Source organism: Homo sapiens, chromosome Y, assembly GCF_000001405.40.
Source record: "Homo sapiens chromosome Y, GRCh38.p14 Primary Assembly".
NCBI lineage: Eukaryota > Metazoa > Chordata > Mammalia > Primates > Hominidae > Homo > Homo sapiens.
This window is the reverse complement of record NC_000024.10, coordinates 9,781,166-9,799,740: the sequence shown is the minus strand read 5'-3', so window position 1 is coordinate 9,799,740 and position 18,575 is coordinate 9,781,166. Positions and strand designations below refer to the sequence as shown.

The 18,575-nt window shown below is 46.0% G+C and overlaps 1 long non-coding RNA gene across 1 annotated transcript; it reads right to left on the bottom strand.

Moving 5' to 3' along the window:
* Nucleotides 1-1,643: 1,643 nt before the first annotated feature.
* LOC107987342 (uncharacterized) lies at nt 1,644-4,951 on the bottom strand. The gene is made up of 3 exons (XR_001756059.2): nt 4,773-4,951; nt 4,324-4,396; nt 1,644-1,792 (listed from the first exon to the last, which is right to left on the bottom strand). It is a non-coding gene; the product is annotated as an uncharacterized LOC107987342 (long non-coding RNA).
* Nucleotides 4,952-18,575: the final 13,624 nt, after the last annotated feature.

The following is an 18,575-nucleotide window of genomic DNA, read 5'->3' as shown; positions in this document are numbered from 1 at the left end:
TCTGGGTATGAAAGCCATAAAATCAGGGGTTTGCCAGCATGGCCCCAGTTTGCATTCCAAATGTTCCCTTTGCATTTGAATACTCCCACCTGAATACTGGGCCATGTTGTGGACTAGTTGTACAGTTAAAGGAATGTGGGTATGCTGTTGGAAGCAAATTCTCTGTCAACTGTCTTCATGTGTTTTGCAGATGAAGGTGTGGGTCCTCATTCACCCCTCAGAAGATTGCATCCTCATCCCAATCTGATCTTATTTCTGCTCACACTCTGTCTGAGAATGAAATCCCAAGATGATGGAGGAATACCCGCTCAAGACCTGTAGCACCTGCTCAGCTGGGAATGGAATTCAAGGTAAATTCAATTGGCACTGCAGATAGGACTGCTAGTGTCTATCCCCGGATTGGCCTCATTACAATGAAACACTGGGAGATGTCTGCTTTTAGGTGTGATGTGCTCCTCTTCTTTCGAGAAGAGTGGCTGTTTTTATAGAGGGAAGTTGATTTGGTTTCTGGCAGGTCTTAGCCAGCCTCTCAATTTACTATGTATTCATAATCCACAAAAAAATAAAGAACACAGAGCCCCACAGCCCAAGCAGATGCACGGACAGGCTATCAAAAGGTTAAGAGAGCAAAAACAAACAAACAAAAAGAAGCACTTATGTGCATTAGCCACATTCCTTTAAGCAACCTCCATTTACAAGTGCACTCACACACACACACACACACACACACAATGCCAAACACACACACAGACATACAACACTCACAACACTCCCAAAGAAACACACAGCCCGGCAGCTTCTGAGGCTCTGAGGTTCTGTAGGAAGCACCATCTGTGAGAGAGCAACCCTGGAGAGCACAGTTGGGTTGCGTTCCAGACTCAACCCTACAACATCTAGGCAAGCATGAAAAATCCTGCAGGTCCTTTGGATTTTTAGGTATTTCGCGGTTTATTCCTTGGGCTCTGCTTGAGGTTTCTTAAGGTAGGCACACGTCTGCCCTCTCCTAGGATCATGGGATCATACTATGGACCCCACAGAGAAGACAGGCAAGAGTCCACTGCTGACACAACCTCCAAGGAGTTCTCCTTCTCAGCCAAGCCTTGGAGGCTTGTCTCTAGGCAGTAGTGCATTCATTGTGATACTAGCCAGAGCTCACAATCAGGCCTCATGCCCTAGGACTAGGGCGTACTCATTTGTGAGGAAGACTAAAGTGTCCAGCTGTCAGAGCTGTCAGCCTGCCTAGGCAGAGGAAAATGGTATAGGCAGAGCAAGCCCAGTACCAGAAAAAAAAGGCTACCTGTGAAACCTACTGTGGGACCTTAAAAGTCTCAACTTCCCAGGACCCCTTTTGTGCCATCTGTGATTGCTTCCTGCTGGAGAAGGAGGCATTTTAAGACTGTGAGTTTGTTGCTGGAAACTTCTACTCTAATTATATTCCCAAAAGAGGCTGTGTGCAAGAATCAAGTCCCATGGGATTTGGAATATAGCCTGGTGTGTTTTTTAGGGTTCTTTGGGTGATAGGATCATACCTGAGACCCCAGAGGCTGGCGTCAGTGAAAGATGGTTGTTCTCTTTACCACACTGTCTCTCTTCATCCTGGGCCTCACAGAGGCTCTCAGGGAAAGGCAGTAACCATGACAACGGCAAGACCAAGGTGGAGCTGTGTTCTCACACCTCTGATTGGCTTCTCACAGTTGCAGATGATGTTGAGTCAGTGTCTCAAAGGCCGTCTGTGGTGATAGCAATCCTGAAAAGGGTGTCCAGCAGTACCATCAAGAGCCACTGTAGATTCCTCATGAAAGCAAAGATAAATCAAGGCTCACTGAGAGAATGAGCTGCTTTGTCCTGGGGTCCAAACAATGTTCAGTGATTCCTGTCAGAGGACCCAAATCCCTTCTGCAAAGTGCAAACAACCTCAGGCCCCAAAACGAGACAATGACCCACCACCTGGAGCTCAGCCAGCTTTCCTGAGGTCCCTTGGCTCTCTGGGCTCTCTGAAATCCTGTCAGCTACATAATCTGTGGTGAGAGGCAGTCCCATCTAGCAGCAGCCCAATGAAAGAGCCCTTCCAAAATGAGAAAACCATGTAGATGAAATAAAACTGAGGCTAGATTACCAGGAAAAGCCAGACATGGCTGTCTGCTTCTCATCCTACAGGAGGAGGATCCACGTCTATCTGATAGACATGGGATAACAAGAGTTTCCTTGTTGGAGGCTCTAATGGGAATTTATGGCTTTAAAACTATCAAAGCTGCCTAGTCATTAAAACGTGACAGTGTTTAGAAGTAAATATCCATGCAACGGATTCTGATGAGGGTTATTCTTTGTGAAATGTGAAACGTTTCGTGTGAAAACTGTTGAACCAGACCCATTAAAACCTAGGCCAAGGAGAAAAATGGAAGTCCAGAAAAGAAGAGGCAAGTGTGGAGGCAACATCCCCACAGCATCAATCCATTTTGCTCCCATTTGGCTTTGGGTATGAAAGCCCCCAAATCAGGATTTTGCCAGAATAACACCAATTTACACACCAAATGATCCTTGCACATTGCAGTCTCCCAACCTGTACACCAGGCCACAGTGTGGACTGCTTGTGTAATTAAGGGAATGTGGGGATGGAGTGGAAAGCACCTTATGTGTCATCTGCCTTTATTTTTTTGCAGGTGAAGTTGTGGGTCTCCAACCACTCCTCACCAAATTGTAGCCTCACCCTTATATAACTTATTGCTGCTCACACTCTTATGTACGAGGATGAAATCCCAAGACTATGAAGGAGCACCTTATCGTGACATGAAGCACCTGCTAGGCTGGGAGCTGAATTCGTGGTAAATTCAAGGGGCGATGTGGACAGGACTGTTAGTGTCTCTTCCTGGGCTGGCAACTGGACAATGAAACACTGGGAGATATCTGTTTTTTCATGTGGTATACTCCTTTTCTTTCTCGAAGAGTGGCTTATTTATTTATTTATTTATTTATTTGCTGGGGGAGTTGATTTGGACATTGTTGGGTCTCAGCCTGGCTCCCAATTCACTGCAGATTGATAATCCACATAAGAATAAAAAACACTGAGCCCTGCAGCCCAAGCAGAACCACACAGAGAAACCACCAAAAGTTGGCTGACTCCAAAAAAAAAGAAGGGCTAAAATGCGTTAGCCAAATCCCTTTAAGCAGACTTCACTTACAGGTTCATATGCATACACACACAAACACACAATGCCACACACATGCAGACATTCAATACTCACAACACTCCCACAGAAACACACACCCCAGCTGCTCCTGAGGCTGTGTGGTTGTGCAGAAAGCCCCACTTTGGAGATTGCAACCCCAGGGAACAGAGGCAGGAGTAATTGAAAATCACAGTTGGGCAAGTTTCAAAAAGACTCACTTCTACAATGCCTACACAAGCCTGAGTAATCCTGCAGACCCTTTTGTATCCTTAGGAATTTCTCAGTTTATTTCTGAGGCTGTGCTTGATGTTTCTTCAGGCTAGCTCACGTCTGACTTCTCCTGGGATCAATAGACTATCCTGCGGTCCCACAGAAAAGACAGGCAAGAGCCTACGGTTGACACACCTCTACAAAAGTCTCGTCCTTCACCAAGCTGAAAGGACTTGTTACTAGGCAATGGTGACACTAATTGTGAAGCTAGCCAGAGCTCATAATCAGGCCTTTTGCCCTGAGACTAGCACATGCACATTCATGAGGCAGGCTTGAGTGACTGGCAGTCAGAGCTGTCAGCTTGCCTTAAGAGGGGAAAATGGTATAGGCAGAGCCGGCATGCTATTGGGAAAAAGGCTGCCTGTGAAAACACACTGCAGGACCATAAATGTCTCTACTTAAGGGCTCCCAAAGCCATCTCCATGGATGAGTACCACTGGAGGAGGAGACATTTTGAGAATGTGTGGTGGTCACTGGAAACTGCTCTTCTGACTCCATTCCTGAAAGAGGCTGTGTGCCAGAATCGGGTCCCATAAGTATTGGAATACAGTCAGGTGTGTTTTTGAGGGTTCCTTGGGTGATAGAATCATACCTGATACCACAGAGGTTGTTGTCTGTGAACGATGCCTGGGCTTTTGATGTCATTGCCTCCCTTCACCCTGGGACTTGCAGGGGCTCTTTGGGAAGGGCAGGAACTAAGACTAAGGCAAGTCCAAGGTGGAGCAGTCTTCTCCCACCTCAGACTGAACACTAGCGTGTGGAGATGAGGTTGAAACATTGTCTCAGGGGCCATCTGTGGCAATGGCAAGCCTGATAAGTGTGTCCAACAGTGCTGTTGAGGGGTACTGTGTCTTCCCCATGAGAGCAAAGATAAATCAAGCCTCACCTGAGACAATGAGCTGCCTTGTGCTGGCATCAGGCAATCTTCGATGATTCCTGTCAGAGGACCCAAAAGCCTCCTGCAAAGTGCAAACAACATCAGCCCCCATAACAAGACAACAACCCACAACCTGGAGCACAGTTGGCCTACCCAAAGTCCCTTTTGCTCTCTGAAATATTTGGCAACCCAATAATCTGTGATGAGAGGCAGTCTCATCCAACAACAGCCTAATAAAAGAGTCCCTCCACAATAAAAAGGCTGTGCAGATAAAATAAAACATAGGCAAGATGACCAGGCACAAGCCACAAACAGCTACCTGCTTCTCATCCTACAGGAATCATGCAGTTCTCGGATAGAAGTGAGAGAACAAGAGTATTCTTGCTGGTGACTGTAACAGGAATTTGTGGTTTTGCCCAGTCATTAAAACATGACACTGTTTAGAAGAAAATACTCACGTAGTGGATTCCAATGAGTGTCGTTCTCCATGAACTGGGAAATGCTTAGTGTGGAAGTCATTGAGCCAGATGCAGGAAACCCTAGGCCCGAAGAGAAACATGTAATTCAGGAAAACAAGAGTTAAGTGTGGAGGCCACATCCCACCCAGCATCAATTCATTCCACTCCCATTTGTTTCTGGGTATGAAAACACTCAAACTGGGAGTTTGCCAGGCTGGTCCCAATTTGCATTCCAAATGTTCCTTGCACATTGGAATACTCCCACATGAACACCCAGGAATAGTGTGGACTGCTTGTGCAATTTAGGGAATGTGGGGATGGAGTTGGAAACACATTCTGTGTCAGCTGTTTTCACTTTTTTTTTGCAGGTGAAATTTTGGGACCTCATCTACCTTTCACCAGATTATATCCTCACCTCTATCTGTCCTTACTGTTGCTCACACTTTATGTCCCAGAATGAAATCCCAAGGCAATGAAAGAGAGCCCCCTCACAACATGAAGGACCTGCTCAGCTGGGAACAGAATGGGAGGTAAATTCAAGGGGTAATGCTAAAGGGACTGCTAGTATCTCTTCCGTAGTTGGTTGCAGGACAATGAAACACTGGAGATGTCTGAATTTTGGTGTGGTGTGCTCCTCTTTTTTCTAGAAGAGTGGCTTTTTTTGCAACGGTCGGTGATTTGGACTCCAGCAAATATCAGCTTGCCTCCCAATTCACTGCAGAATCATGATGCACAGAAACATAAAGAACATCGAGCCCTGCAACTCAAGAAGAGCCACACAGACAGGCCACCAAAAGGTTGGGACACTCAAAAAAAAGAAGCACTGAAGTGCATTAGCCACATTCCTTTAAGCAGACTTTATTACATACATGTGCACACACACACACACCATGTCACAGACACACACAGACATCCAACAATAGCAACACTCCTACAGAAACACAGTCTGGCAGCACCTGTGGCTGCATGATTCTGCAGGAAGCTGCACCTTGGAGAGAGCAAACCCATAGAACACAGGCAGGCTGTACCGAGAAATCACAGTGGGGCAAGTTTCAAAATGACTCACTACTACAACCTGTAGGCAGGTCTGAGGAAACCTAAGATTCCTTTGGATTTTTAGGGATTTTCAGGTTTATTCATGGGTCTTTGCTTGACATTTCTTTAGGCTGGTTAACCTCTGCCCTCTACTAGGATCAGGGGACTATTCTGTGAATCCCACAGGGAAGAAAGATGACAGTCAACGGCTGCAGCACCTCCACAAAGTCTCCTTCTCTGCCAAGGCCCAGGGATGTGTCTCTAGGCAATGGTGACATTCATTGTAATGCAAGCCAGAGCTCACAATCAGGCCTAATGCCTGAGACTAGTGCCTGTGCATTCATGAGCCAGGACCAGGTGCCCAGCTGTCAAAGCTGTCAACCTGCCTAAACAGAGAAAAATCATATAGGCAGAGCCAGCATTGTATTGGGAAAAAGGCTGCATGCAACATCTCACTGTGGTACCCTAAAAGTCTGGACCTCAGAGCCCCTTCATGCCTTCTCTGATGTGGGATCCCACTAGAGAAGGAGGAGTTTCAAGACTGTGATGTGAGGTGGTTCCTGGAAACTGCTCTCCTGACTCCATTTCTGAAATAGGCTATGTGCAAGAATCAGGCCCCAGGGGCATTGCAATATAGTCTGGTTTGTTGTTGAGGGTTCTTTAAGTGATAGAGACATACCTGAAACCCCAGAGGTGGGTGTCAGTGAATGATGGTTGGGCTCTTTATCTAACTGCCTCCCTTCATCCTGGGTCTTACAGGGGATCTCTGCACAGGGCCAGAACAAAGGCAAGCCCAAAACGAAGCAGTGTTCTCACATCTCAGACTGGCTTCTCATGCATGCAGATATGGGTGAGAAAGTGTCTCAGATGCCTTCTGTGGTGAGGCCAAGCCTGAAAAACCTGTCCAGTAGTGCTATTGAGGGGCACTGTGGATTCCCCTCGAAAGCAAAGAAAAATCAAGGCTTGCCTTAAAGAATGAGGTGCCCTGTGCTGGAGTCTCTGCACTGTTCAGTGATTCCTGTCAGAGGACTCAAAAGCCTACTGCAAAGTGCAAACAACCTGAGCCCAACAGTGAGACAACAACCCACAACATGGAGCACAGTCAGCCTACCTGAAGTCCCTTTTGCTCTCTGAAATCCCTGGAAGCTTAATAATTTGTGGCAAGAGGCCATATCATCCAGCAATAGCCCAATGAAAGAGCTCTTTTACAATGTGAAGGCTGTGCAGATAAAATGGAAGATAAGTTAGATTACCAGGCATAAGCCAGACACGGCTGCCTGATTCATATCCTATAGGAATCATGCAGCCCTCCTATAGAAGTGGGAGAACAAGAGTTTTCCTGTTGGTAGACATTAATGGGAATTTACAGTGTTAAAAGTATGAAACTGTCCAGTCATTAAAAGCTGACATTGTTTAGAAGGAAACACTAACTCAATGGATTCCCATGAGGGTTGTTCTTTGTCAACTGGGAAATATCTAGTGTGGAAGTCATTAAGCCAGACCCAGGAAACCCTAGGCCAATGAGGAACACGGAATTCAAAAAAGAAGAGGCAAGTGAGGAGGCCACAGCCCACCCAACATCAATCAATTCCACTCCCTTTTGGATACAGGAATGAAAGAACTCAAATAGGGAGTAGACCAGGATGGCCCCAATTTGCACTGCAAATTTTTTTTGCACATCAGAGTACTTCAACCTGAACGCTGAGCCACAGTGTGGACTGCTTGTTCAATTCAGGGAAGGCAGGTATGGAGTTGGAAGCACCTTCTGTGGCATCTGTCTTCATTTTATCTTCAGGTGGAGTTGCAGGACAAGTCCACCCCTCACAAGATTTTATGCTAACCCTTATCTGACATTATTGCTGCTCACACTTTATGTTTCAGCATAAAATCCCAAGACGATGGAGAAGTGCACTCTCATGACATAAAACACCTGCTCAGCTGGGAACCGAACTGGTGTTCAATTCAAGGGCACCTCTGGACAGGACTGCAAGTATCCATAGTTTGGCCTCAGCACAATGAAAAATTGGGAGATGCCTGTTTTTTGGTGTGGTGTGCTCCTCTTCTTTCTGGAAGAGTGAATTTTTTTTTTTTGCAGGCAGAGATAGTATGGACACCACCACATCTTGCAAGCCTTCCAATTCACTGCAGATACATAATCCACAGAAAAAAAAAAAAGCATGGAGCCCCGCAGTCCAAGCAGAGCCACACAGACAAGTCACTGAAAAACTGGGAGACTCATAAAAAAGAAGGGCTCAAGTGCATTAGCCTCATTTCTTTAAGCACACTCCACTTACAGGCACACACACACACAAACACACCATGTCACACACACACAAAGACATTTAACAGTTGCAACATTCCCACAGAAAGAAACAGCCCAGCAGCTCTTGAGGTTGCATGGTTTTTCAGAAAGCCACACCTGTGAGAGAGCAACCCTGGGGAACATAGGCAGGCTATACCTAGAAATCACAAAGGGGCAGCTTTCAAAAAGACACCCCACAATGTATAGGCAGGCCTGACAAATCCTGAAGATAGTTTTGTATCCTTAGGGATTCCATGGTTTATTTTTGGTGCTGGGCTTCGTGCTTCTTCAGACTGCCTCACTTCTGTTCTCTTCTAGCATCATGGGAGTATCACATGAATTCCAGAGAAGATAGGCAAAAGTCCTTCCCTGATGCACCTCCATGGAAGACTCCCTCTCTGCCAAGACACAGGTACTTGTCACAAGGCAACTGTGACATTCATTGTGATGCTAGCCAAATCTCACAATGATTCCTGCTACTCTGAGACTAGCCCATGCACATTCATGTGGCAGGCTCAGGCACTGGGCTGTCAAAGCTGTCAGCCTGCCTAAGCAGAGAAAAACGCTACAGGCAGAGCCAGCCTGGTATCGGGAAAAAGGCTACCTGCCAAAACCCACTGCAGGACCTTGACTGTATCAACCTCAACACCCCTTTGGGCCATCTCCGTGGTCAGGTCCCATTGGAGGAGGAGGTGTTTCAAGACTGTGAGGTGGTCACTGCAAACTTCTCTTCTGATTCCATTCCTGAAAGAGGCTCTGTGCAAGAATTGAAACCCAAAGAGATTGGAATATAGTCTGATGTGTTGTTGACTGTTCTTTGAATGATAGAATCATACCTGAGACCCCAGAGGTCAGTGTCATTGAAAGACAGATGAGATCTTGACCTCACTGTCTCCCTTAATCCTAGGCATCACAGGGCCTCTCTGGGAAAGGCAGGAACCACGACAAAGTCAACTCTAAGGTGAGGTTGACACCGGGTCTCAGGGGCTCTGTGTGGTGATGGTAAGCCTGAAAATGGTGTCCTGCATTGCTGCTGAGGGGCACTGTTTATTCCCCATGAAAGCAGAGAAAAATCAATGCCTGCCTGAGAGAAAGAGTAGCCTTGTGTTGGAGTCCAAGCAATGTTTAATGATTCCTCTCAGAAGAACCAAAACCCTCCCGCAAAGTGCAAACAACCTAAGCCCCAGAAACGAGACAACGACTCATAACATGAAGTGCAGTTAGCCTACATGGCCATAGTCCCTTTTGCTCTCTGAAATCACTGGCAGCTACATAATGTGTAGCAAGAGGAAGTCTCATCCAGCAACAGTTCAATGAAAAAACCTCTCCAAAATGAGAAGGCTGTACAGATGAAACGAAACAGAGTATAGATTACCAGGTAAAAGCGTGACATGGCAGTCTACTTCTCATCCTACAGGAATCCCTCTGATAGATGTGAGAGAACAAGTGTTTTGTTTTTGTTTTGAGTACTCTCACTTGAACACTGAGCCATGGTGTGGACTGCTTGTTCGATTAAGGGAATGCAGGGATGGATTTAGAAGCACCAACTGTGACATCTGTGTTATTTATTTTATTTTATTTTTTGCAGGTGAAATTGTGGGACCCCATCCATGCCTCACCAGAGTGTATCACCACCCCATCTGACCCTATTCCTGCTCATACTCTATGTCCCAGGACGAAATCCCAAAATGATGGAGGAGTGCCTCCTCATGACATGAAGCACCTGCTCGGCTGGGATCCGAATTTGAGGTAAATTCGAGGGGCCATGTTTACAGGACTGCTTGTGTTGGGCCACCCTGTGTTGGCCACAAAACTGTGAAACACTGGAAGATGTCTGTTTTTTGGTGTGGTGTTCTCCACTTCTCTGAAGAACGGTGGCTTCTTTTTGCAGAGGGAGTTGATTTGGACACCAGCGATTCCAGGTCCATCTCTCAATTCACTGCAGATTCATGATCCACATAAAAATAAAGAACATGGAGACCTGAAGCCTAAGCAGAGCCACATAGGCAGGCCACCAAAAGATGGGGAGACAGAAGAAAAAAAAGCACTGAAGTGCATTAGCTGCATTCCTTTAAGGAGACTCCACTTAAAGGCACACACACACATGCACACAAAAGGACATAAACACACAATGCCTCACACACACGCACATATCCAAAATTCACAATGCTGCCACAGAAACACATGGCCCAGCAGCTCCTGATCCTGTATGGTTCTGCAGGATGCCACACCAGGGAGAGAGCAACCCTAGGGACACAGGTGGGCTGTACCTAGAAACCATAGTAGGGCAAGTTTCAAAAAGTCTCACACCTACAATGTCTAGACAGGCCTAAGGAATCCTGCAGACCTTGGATGCTTAGGAATTTTGCAGTTTATTCCTGGGGCTCTGCTTGACATTTCTTCAAGCTGGCTCATGTCTGCTCTTTTCCATGACAAGGGGACAATCCTGTGGATCCCATAGAGAAGACAGGTGAGAATCCATAGCTGATGCACCCTCACAGAGGTCTCTATCTCCACCAAGCTGCAGGAACTTGTCGCTAGGCAATGGTGAGATTCATTGTGAGGGTACCCAAAGCTCACAATCAGGATAGGTGCCCTGAGGCTAACACATGTGCATTCATGAGGTGGACTAGGGCCCTTGGCTGTCAGAGCTGTCAGCCTTCCCAAACAGAGGAAAATGGTACAGGCAGAGCTGGCCAAGTATCACAAAACAGGCTGTCTGTGAAAAACCACTGCAGGACACTAAAAGTCTAGACCTCAGAGACTCTTCCAGCCTTCTCCACTTCTCCATGGTCAGGTCCTGCTGGAGAAGGAGGCATTTGGAGACTGTGAGGTGGTTGCTGGAAACTGCTCTTGTGACTCCAGTCCCAAAAGAGGCTGTGTGCAAGTATCAGGTTCCATGTTGATTGGAGTATATTCTGGTGTCTTGTAGAGGGTTCTTTGGGTCATAGAATCATACGTGAGTCACAGGGATGAAATTCAGGGGGACTTACAGACAGGACTGCTAGTGTCTCCCCCTGGTTTGGCCACAGGACAATGAAACACTGAGAGATGTCTGTTTTTTTTTTGGTGTAGAGTCCTCCTGTTCTTTCTAGAAGAGTGGCTTTTTTTTTTTTGGCAGAAGGAGGTGATTTAAACAATGGCAGGTCTTGGGCCACCTCCCAATTTACAGAGGATTCATGATCCACAGAAAAACTAACAAACAAGGAGCCCTGCAGCCCAAGCACAGCCACACAGACAGGCCACCTAAAAGTTTGGTGACTCAAAGAAAGAAGCAATGAAGTGCATTAGCTACATTCATTTAAGCAGAATCCACTTACAGGGACACACATACACATACACAAACACACAATGCCACACACACACACACACACTCAGACATCCAACACCTGCAACACTCTCACAGAAACACAGACCTGCAACTCCTGAGGCTGCCTGGTTCTGCAGGAAGCCCCACTGAAGAGAGAGCCACCCCTGGGAACACAGGTAGGCTGTACCTGGAAATCAGACCGGGGCAAGTTTCAAAAAGACTCACATCTACAACCTTTAGGCAGGCCAGAGGAATCTTGCAGATTTTTTGTATCCTTAACAATTTCACAATTTATTCCTGGGGTTGTGCCTGACATTTCTTCAGGCAAGCTCATGTCTGACCTCTCTTGGGATCATGGAACTATCCCATCTATCCCAAAGAGAAGATAGATGTGAGTCCACAGCCTATGCAACTCAACGGAGGTCTTCTTATCCTTCAAGCTGCAGGGACTTGGCGCTAGGCAACAATGACATTCATTCTGGTACTACCCAGGGCCCACAATCAGGCCTGGTGCTGTGAGACTAGTGCATGTACATTCTTGAGGCAGGTTCTGGTGCCAGGCTGTCAGAGCTGTCAGCCTGCCTAATCAGTTGGAAATAGTACAGGCAGAGCCACCCTGTTATCAAGAAAAAGGGGGCCCGCAAAAACCCACTGTGGGACACTAAATGTCTCAACCCCAAGACCACTTCAGGCCGTTTCCATGGTTGGATCTCTCTGACGGAGAAAACGTTTTGAGACTCTGAGGTGGTCACTGGAAACTGTTTTTCTGACTTCATTCCCAAAAGAAGCTGTGTGCAAGAATCAGATACCATGAGGATTGGAATACAGTATGGTGTGTAGTTGAGGGTTCTTAGGGTGATAGAATCATACCTGAGACCATAGATGCAGATGTCAGTGAAGGATGGCCGGACTCTTGACCTCACTGTCTCCCTTTATCCTTGGCCTCACAGAGGCTCTCTGGGAAAGGCAGGAACCAAGATGAAGGAAAGTCCAAGGTGAAACAGTGTTCTCACACCTCGTATTGTCCTGTAACAAGTGCAGATGATGTTTAGACGGTTCTCAGATGCCATCTGTAGAGATGGCAAGCCTGAAAATGGTGTCCATTAGTTCTGTTGAGGAGAACTGTGGATTCCTTGTGAAAGAAAAGAAAAATCAACACTCACCCAAAAGAACAAGATGCCTTGTCCTGGAGTCCAAGAAATGTTCAATTATTCCTTTCAGAAGACCCAAAAGCCTTCTGCAAAGTGCAAACAACCTCAGCCCCCACATTGAGACAATGACCCACAACCTGGAGCACAGACAGCCTAATGGAAGTCCCTTTTGCTCTCTGGAATCCCTGGCAGCTACATAATCTGTGGTGAGAGGCAGTACCACCAAGCAACAGTTTAATGAAATTGCCCTTCAAAATTGAGAAGGCCATGCAGATGAAATGAAACAGAGTCTAGATTACCAGGTAAAAGTCTAACACAACTGCCTGCTTCTCATCCTACAGGATTCATGCAGCCCTTCGATAGAAAAGAGATAACAAGTTTGCTTTTGGCTGATGTGACAGGGATATATGGATTTAAAAGTATCTTATTTTCCCAGTCATTAAAACATGACAGTGTTTAGAAGGAATTATGCAATGGATTTCCATGAGGGTCATTATCTGTGAACTGGGAAATGTTTAGTGTAGAAGTCGTTAAGCCAGAACTAGGAAACCCTAGGGCCATGAGAATCATGAAAGGCCTGAAAAGAAGAGGCAAGACTGGAAACACCATCCCACCCAGCATCAATCCATCCCACTCCCATTTGGCTCTGAGTATGAAAGGTCTCAAATCGGAAGTTTGCCAGGATGGCCCCAATTTGCACTTCAAATGTTACTTGAGCGTTGGAGTACTGCTACCTGAAAGCCGAGCCATGATGTGGACTGCTTCTGCAATTCAGGGAATGCAGGGATAGAGTTGGAAGCACCTTCTGTATTATCAGTGTTTTTTATTATTATTATTATTTGCAGGTGAAGTTGAGAGACCCCTTCCACCTCACACCAGATTGTATCCTCATGTCTATCTAACCTTACTACTCATCACACTCTATGTCCCCAGATAAAATTCCAAGATGACGGAGGACTGCCACCTCATGACGTGAAACACCTGCTCCTCTGGGAACCAAATTTTAGGTAAATTCAAGGTGCACTGCCCACAGGACTGCTTGTGCCTCTCCCTGTGTTGACCATAGGGATATGAAACACAGGGTGATGCCTGCTTTTTTGATGTGGTGTGCTCCTCTTATTTCTTTTTTTTTTTATTATACTTTAAGTTTTAGGGTACATGTGCACAATGTGCAGGTTAGTTACATGTGTATACACGTGCCATGCTGGTGTGCTGCACCCATTAACTCGTCATTTAGCATTAGGTATATCTCCTAATGTTATCCCTCCACCTCCCCCCACCCCACAATATTCCCCAGAGTGTGATACTCCCCTTCCTGTGTCCATGTGTTCTTATTGTTCAATTCCCGCCTATGAGTGAGAACATGCGGTGTTTGGTTTTCTGTCCTTGCAATATTTTACTGAGAATAATGATTTCCAGTTTCATCCATGTCCCTACAAAGGACATGAACTCATCATTTTTTTTTCTTTTTTTGAGACGGAGTCTCGCTCTGTTGCCCAGACTGGAGTGCAGTGGAGCGATCTTGGCTCACTGCAAGCTCCATCTCCTGGGTTCATGCCATTCTTCTGCCTCAGCCTCCTGAGTAGCTGGGACTGCAGGTGCCCACCACCACGCCTGGCTAATTTTTTTTGTATTTTTTAGTGGAGACGGGGTTTCACCGTCTTAGGCAGGATGGTCTTGATATCCTGACCTCATGATCCACCTGCCTCGGCCTCCCAAAGTGCTGGGATTACAGGTGTGAGCCACAGCATTTTTTATGGCTGCATAGCATTCCGTGGTGTATATGTGACAGATTTTCTTTATCCAGTCTATCATTGTTGGACATTTGGGTTGGTTCCAAGTATTTGCTATTGCGAATAGTGCTGCAATAAACATACGTGTGCACAAAAATTAATTCAAGATGGATTAAAGACTTAAACATTAGACCTAAAACCATAAAAACCCTAGAAGAAAACCTAGGCATTACCATTCAGGACATAGGCATGGGCAAGGACTTCAAGTCTAAAACACCAAAAGCAATGGCAACAAAAGCCAAAATTGACAAATGAGATCTAATTAAACTAAAGAACTTCTGCACAGCAAAAGAAACTACAATCAGAGTGAACTGGCAACCTATAAAATGGGAGAAAATTTTTGCAACCTACTCATCTGACAAAGGGCTCCCCTTATTTGTAAAACAGTGACTTTTTTTGCAGAGGTGGTTGATTTGGATGCCGGCGGTTCCCAGCCCACCTCCAAATTCACTGGGGATTTATTATACACATAAAAATAAAGAACATGGAGCCTTGCCATCCATGCAGAGCCACATAGACCACCAAAAGGTGGAGAGACACAATAAAAAGAAGCACTGGAGTGCGTTAGCCACATTCCTTTAAGCAGACTCCACTTACAGGAACACACACACACACAAAGACAGAAACACACAATACCTCACACATCAAACATTCACAACATTCTCACAGAAACACTTCACCTGGCGTCTCCTGACACTGTGTGGTTCTGCAGGAAGACCCACCTGGGAAAGAACAACCCTGAGAAACACAGGCAGGCAGTCCCTAGAAATCACAGTAGGACAATTTTCAAAAAGACTTACTCCTACAACGTCTAGTGAGGCCTGAGGAATCCTGCAGATTTTCTTGGATCCATAGGGATTTTGCATTTTATTCCTAGGGTTCTGCTTGATGTTTCTTCATGCTGGCTCATGTCTGGCCTTTCCTAGGACAATGAAATAATCCAGTGGATCCCACCTAGAAGACAGGTGAGAGTACACTGCTGACCCATCTCCACGGAGGTCTCTATGTCTGCAAAGCCACAGGGACTTTTTGCTAGGCAATGATGACATTCATTGTGACACTAGTGAGAGCTCATCATCAGGCCAGGTGCTCTGAGACTAGCACATGCACATTTGTGAGGCAGGCTATGGCCCCTGGCTGTCATATTGGTCAGCCTGCCTAAGCAGAGGAAATTGGCACAGTCAGATCTGGCCGAATGTCGCGAAATAGGCTGCCTATGAAAACCCACTGTGGGACACTAAAATCTAGACCTCAGGTCCCCTTCAGATCATCTCCATGATCAGGCCCCTATGGAGGAGGAGATGTTTTGAGGCTATGAGTTTGTCACTAGAAACTGCTTTTCTGACTCCATTCCAGAAAGAGGCTGTGTGCAAGAATCGGGTCCCTTGTGGATTGAAATACAGTTTGTTGTATTGTAGAGGGTTCTTTGGGTGATAGAATCATACCTGAGACCCCAGAGGTGGGTTTCAGCAAATGATGGCTGGGCTCTTGACCTCAATGCCTTCCTTGATCCTGGACTTCACAGGGGCTATCTGAAAAAAGCAGAAACCAAGACAAATGCAAGTCCAATGTGGAGCAGTGATCTCACAAGTTAAACTGGCCTTTTACAGATGCAAATGAGCGTGAGTGTCTCAGAGTCCATTTGTGACCGTGGCAAGCCTGAAAAGCATGTCCAATAGTACTGTTGAGGAGTACTGTGGATTCCCCATGAAAGCAAACAAAACTCAAGACTCACCTGACAGAATGAGGTACGTTTTTCTGTAGTCCAAGCAATGTTCAATGATTACTGTTACAGGACCCAAAATTATCTTGCAAAGTTAAAACCACCACAGCCCCTACAAGGAGAAAATGACCCATAACCTGGAATGCAGCCAGCCTACACAGAGTCTCTTTTGCTTTCTGAAATTCCTGACAGCTAAATAATCTGTTGCTGGAGGCAGTCCTATCGAGCAACATCTCAATGAAAGAGCTCCTCCACAATGAGATGGCCATGCAGATGCAGTGATACAGAGGCTAGATTACCAGAAAAAAAGTGAGACATGGCTGCCTTCTTCTCATCCTCCAAGAATCATGCAGCCCTTCAATAGAAATGGGAGACAAAGTTTCATTGTTTGTGGGTCTAATGGGTATTAACAGTTTTAAAAGTAACAAAACTGCCCAGTCATTAAAATATGACAGTGTTTACAAGGAAACACTCAGGCAATGGATTCCCTTGAGGGTCGTTCCACATTAACTGGATAACATTTATTGTGGAAGTCATTGAGCCAGAACCAGAAAACCCTAGGATGATAAGAATCATGAAAATCAGGAAAAGAAGAGGCAAGTCTGTAGGCCACATCCCGCCAAGCCTCAATCCCTTCAACTCCCATTTGGCTATGGGTATGAAAGCCCTCAAATCGGGAGTTTGCCAGGATGGCCCCAGTTTGCACTCCTAATATCCACAGCATGTTGGAGCACTCTCACCTGGACCCCTGGCCATGGTGTGGACTGCTTCTGCAATTAAGGATTTACCGGGATGGAATTGAAAGCACCTTCTGTGTTACCTGTCTTCATTTGTTTTGCAGGTGAAGTTTGGGATTCCATCCACCCCTCACCAGATTTTATCCTCACCCTTATCTGAACTTATTCCTTCTCACACTCTATGTCCCAGGATTAAATCTCAAGATGATGAAGGAATACCCCCTCATGACATGAAGCACCTGCTCATCTGGGAAGCTAATTCAATGTAAATTCAAGGGGACCTAAGAACAGGACTGCTAGTGTCTCCATGGTTAGGCTGCAGGACAATGAAACACTAGATGTCATTTTTTTTTTTGGTGTGGTGTGCTTCTCTTCTTTCTAGAAGAATGGCTTTCTTTTTTTTTCTCTCCTTTTTTTTTTTCTTTTTTTGCAGAGGGACATGATTTAAACTATGGCAGGTATCAGCCCACCTCCCAATTCACTGTGGATTCATGATCCACAGAAAAATAGAAAACCTGGACCCCGCAGTCCAAGCAAAGCCACACAGACAGGGCACATAAAGGTTTGGTGACTCAAAAAAAAGAAGCAATGAAGTGCATTATCCACAGTCATTTAAGCAGACTCCACTTACAGGCACACACACATACACACACACACAAAACCACACAATGTCTCACACACACACACACAGACATCCAACATTTACAACACTCCCACAGAAACACACAGCGTGGGAACTCCTAAGGCTGCCTGGTACTGCAGGACATTTGAATGTGGGAGAGAGCCCCTCTCCCCGCCCCGCCCTGGGGAACACAGGCGTGATGTACCTATAAATCACAGTGGGGCAAGTTTCAAAATGACTCACAACTACAATGCCTAGGCAGGCTTGAAGAATCCTACAGATTTCTTTGCATCCTTTGGGATTTCAGAATTTATTTCTGGAATTGTGCTTGATGTTTCTACAGACTCTCACATCTGCCCTCTCTTGGGATCATGGGACTGTCCTGTCTGTCTTACAGAGAAGACAAGTGGGAGTCCATGGGCAACAAAACTGTATAGAGGTGCCCTTCTTCTCCAATTCACAGGGACTTGGCATTAGGCAACAATGACATTAATTGTCACTCTACTGAAAGGTCACAGTCAGGCCTGGTGCTGTGAGACTAGCGCATGCACATTTGTGAGGCAGGCTCCGCCATCAGTCAGTCTGAGCTGTCAGCCTGCCTATGCAGTAAAAAATGGTACAGGCAGGGCAAGCCTGGTATCAAGAAAAAGGCAGCCTGGAAAAACCCAGAGCAGGACACTAAAATTCTCAAACTCAGGGCGCCTTTAGACAGTTTTTGTGGTTGGGTCTTGCTGGAGGAGGAAGGGTTTTGAGACTCTGAGGTGGTCACAGCAAACTGTTCTTCTGACTTCATTCCCAAAAGATGTTCTTTGCGACAGTCTGGTACCATAGGGATTGCAATATAGTATGGTGTGTTAAGGGTTCTTTGTTGATAGAATCATACCTAAGACCCTAAGGGCAGAGGTCAGTGAAAGATGGCTGGGTTCTTGACCTCACAGCTTCCCTTAATGCTGTGCCTCACAGAGGCTTTCTGGGAAATACAGGAAGCAACACAAAGGCAAATCCAATATGAAGCAATGGTCTCACATCCGTATTGTCACCTCTTGGGTGCAGATAAGGTTTAGACAGTGTCTCAGACACCATCTGCAGTCATGGCAAGCCTGAAAAGGGTGTCCAAAAAAAAGTCTCAC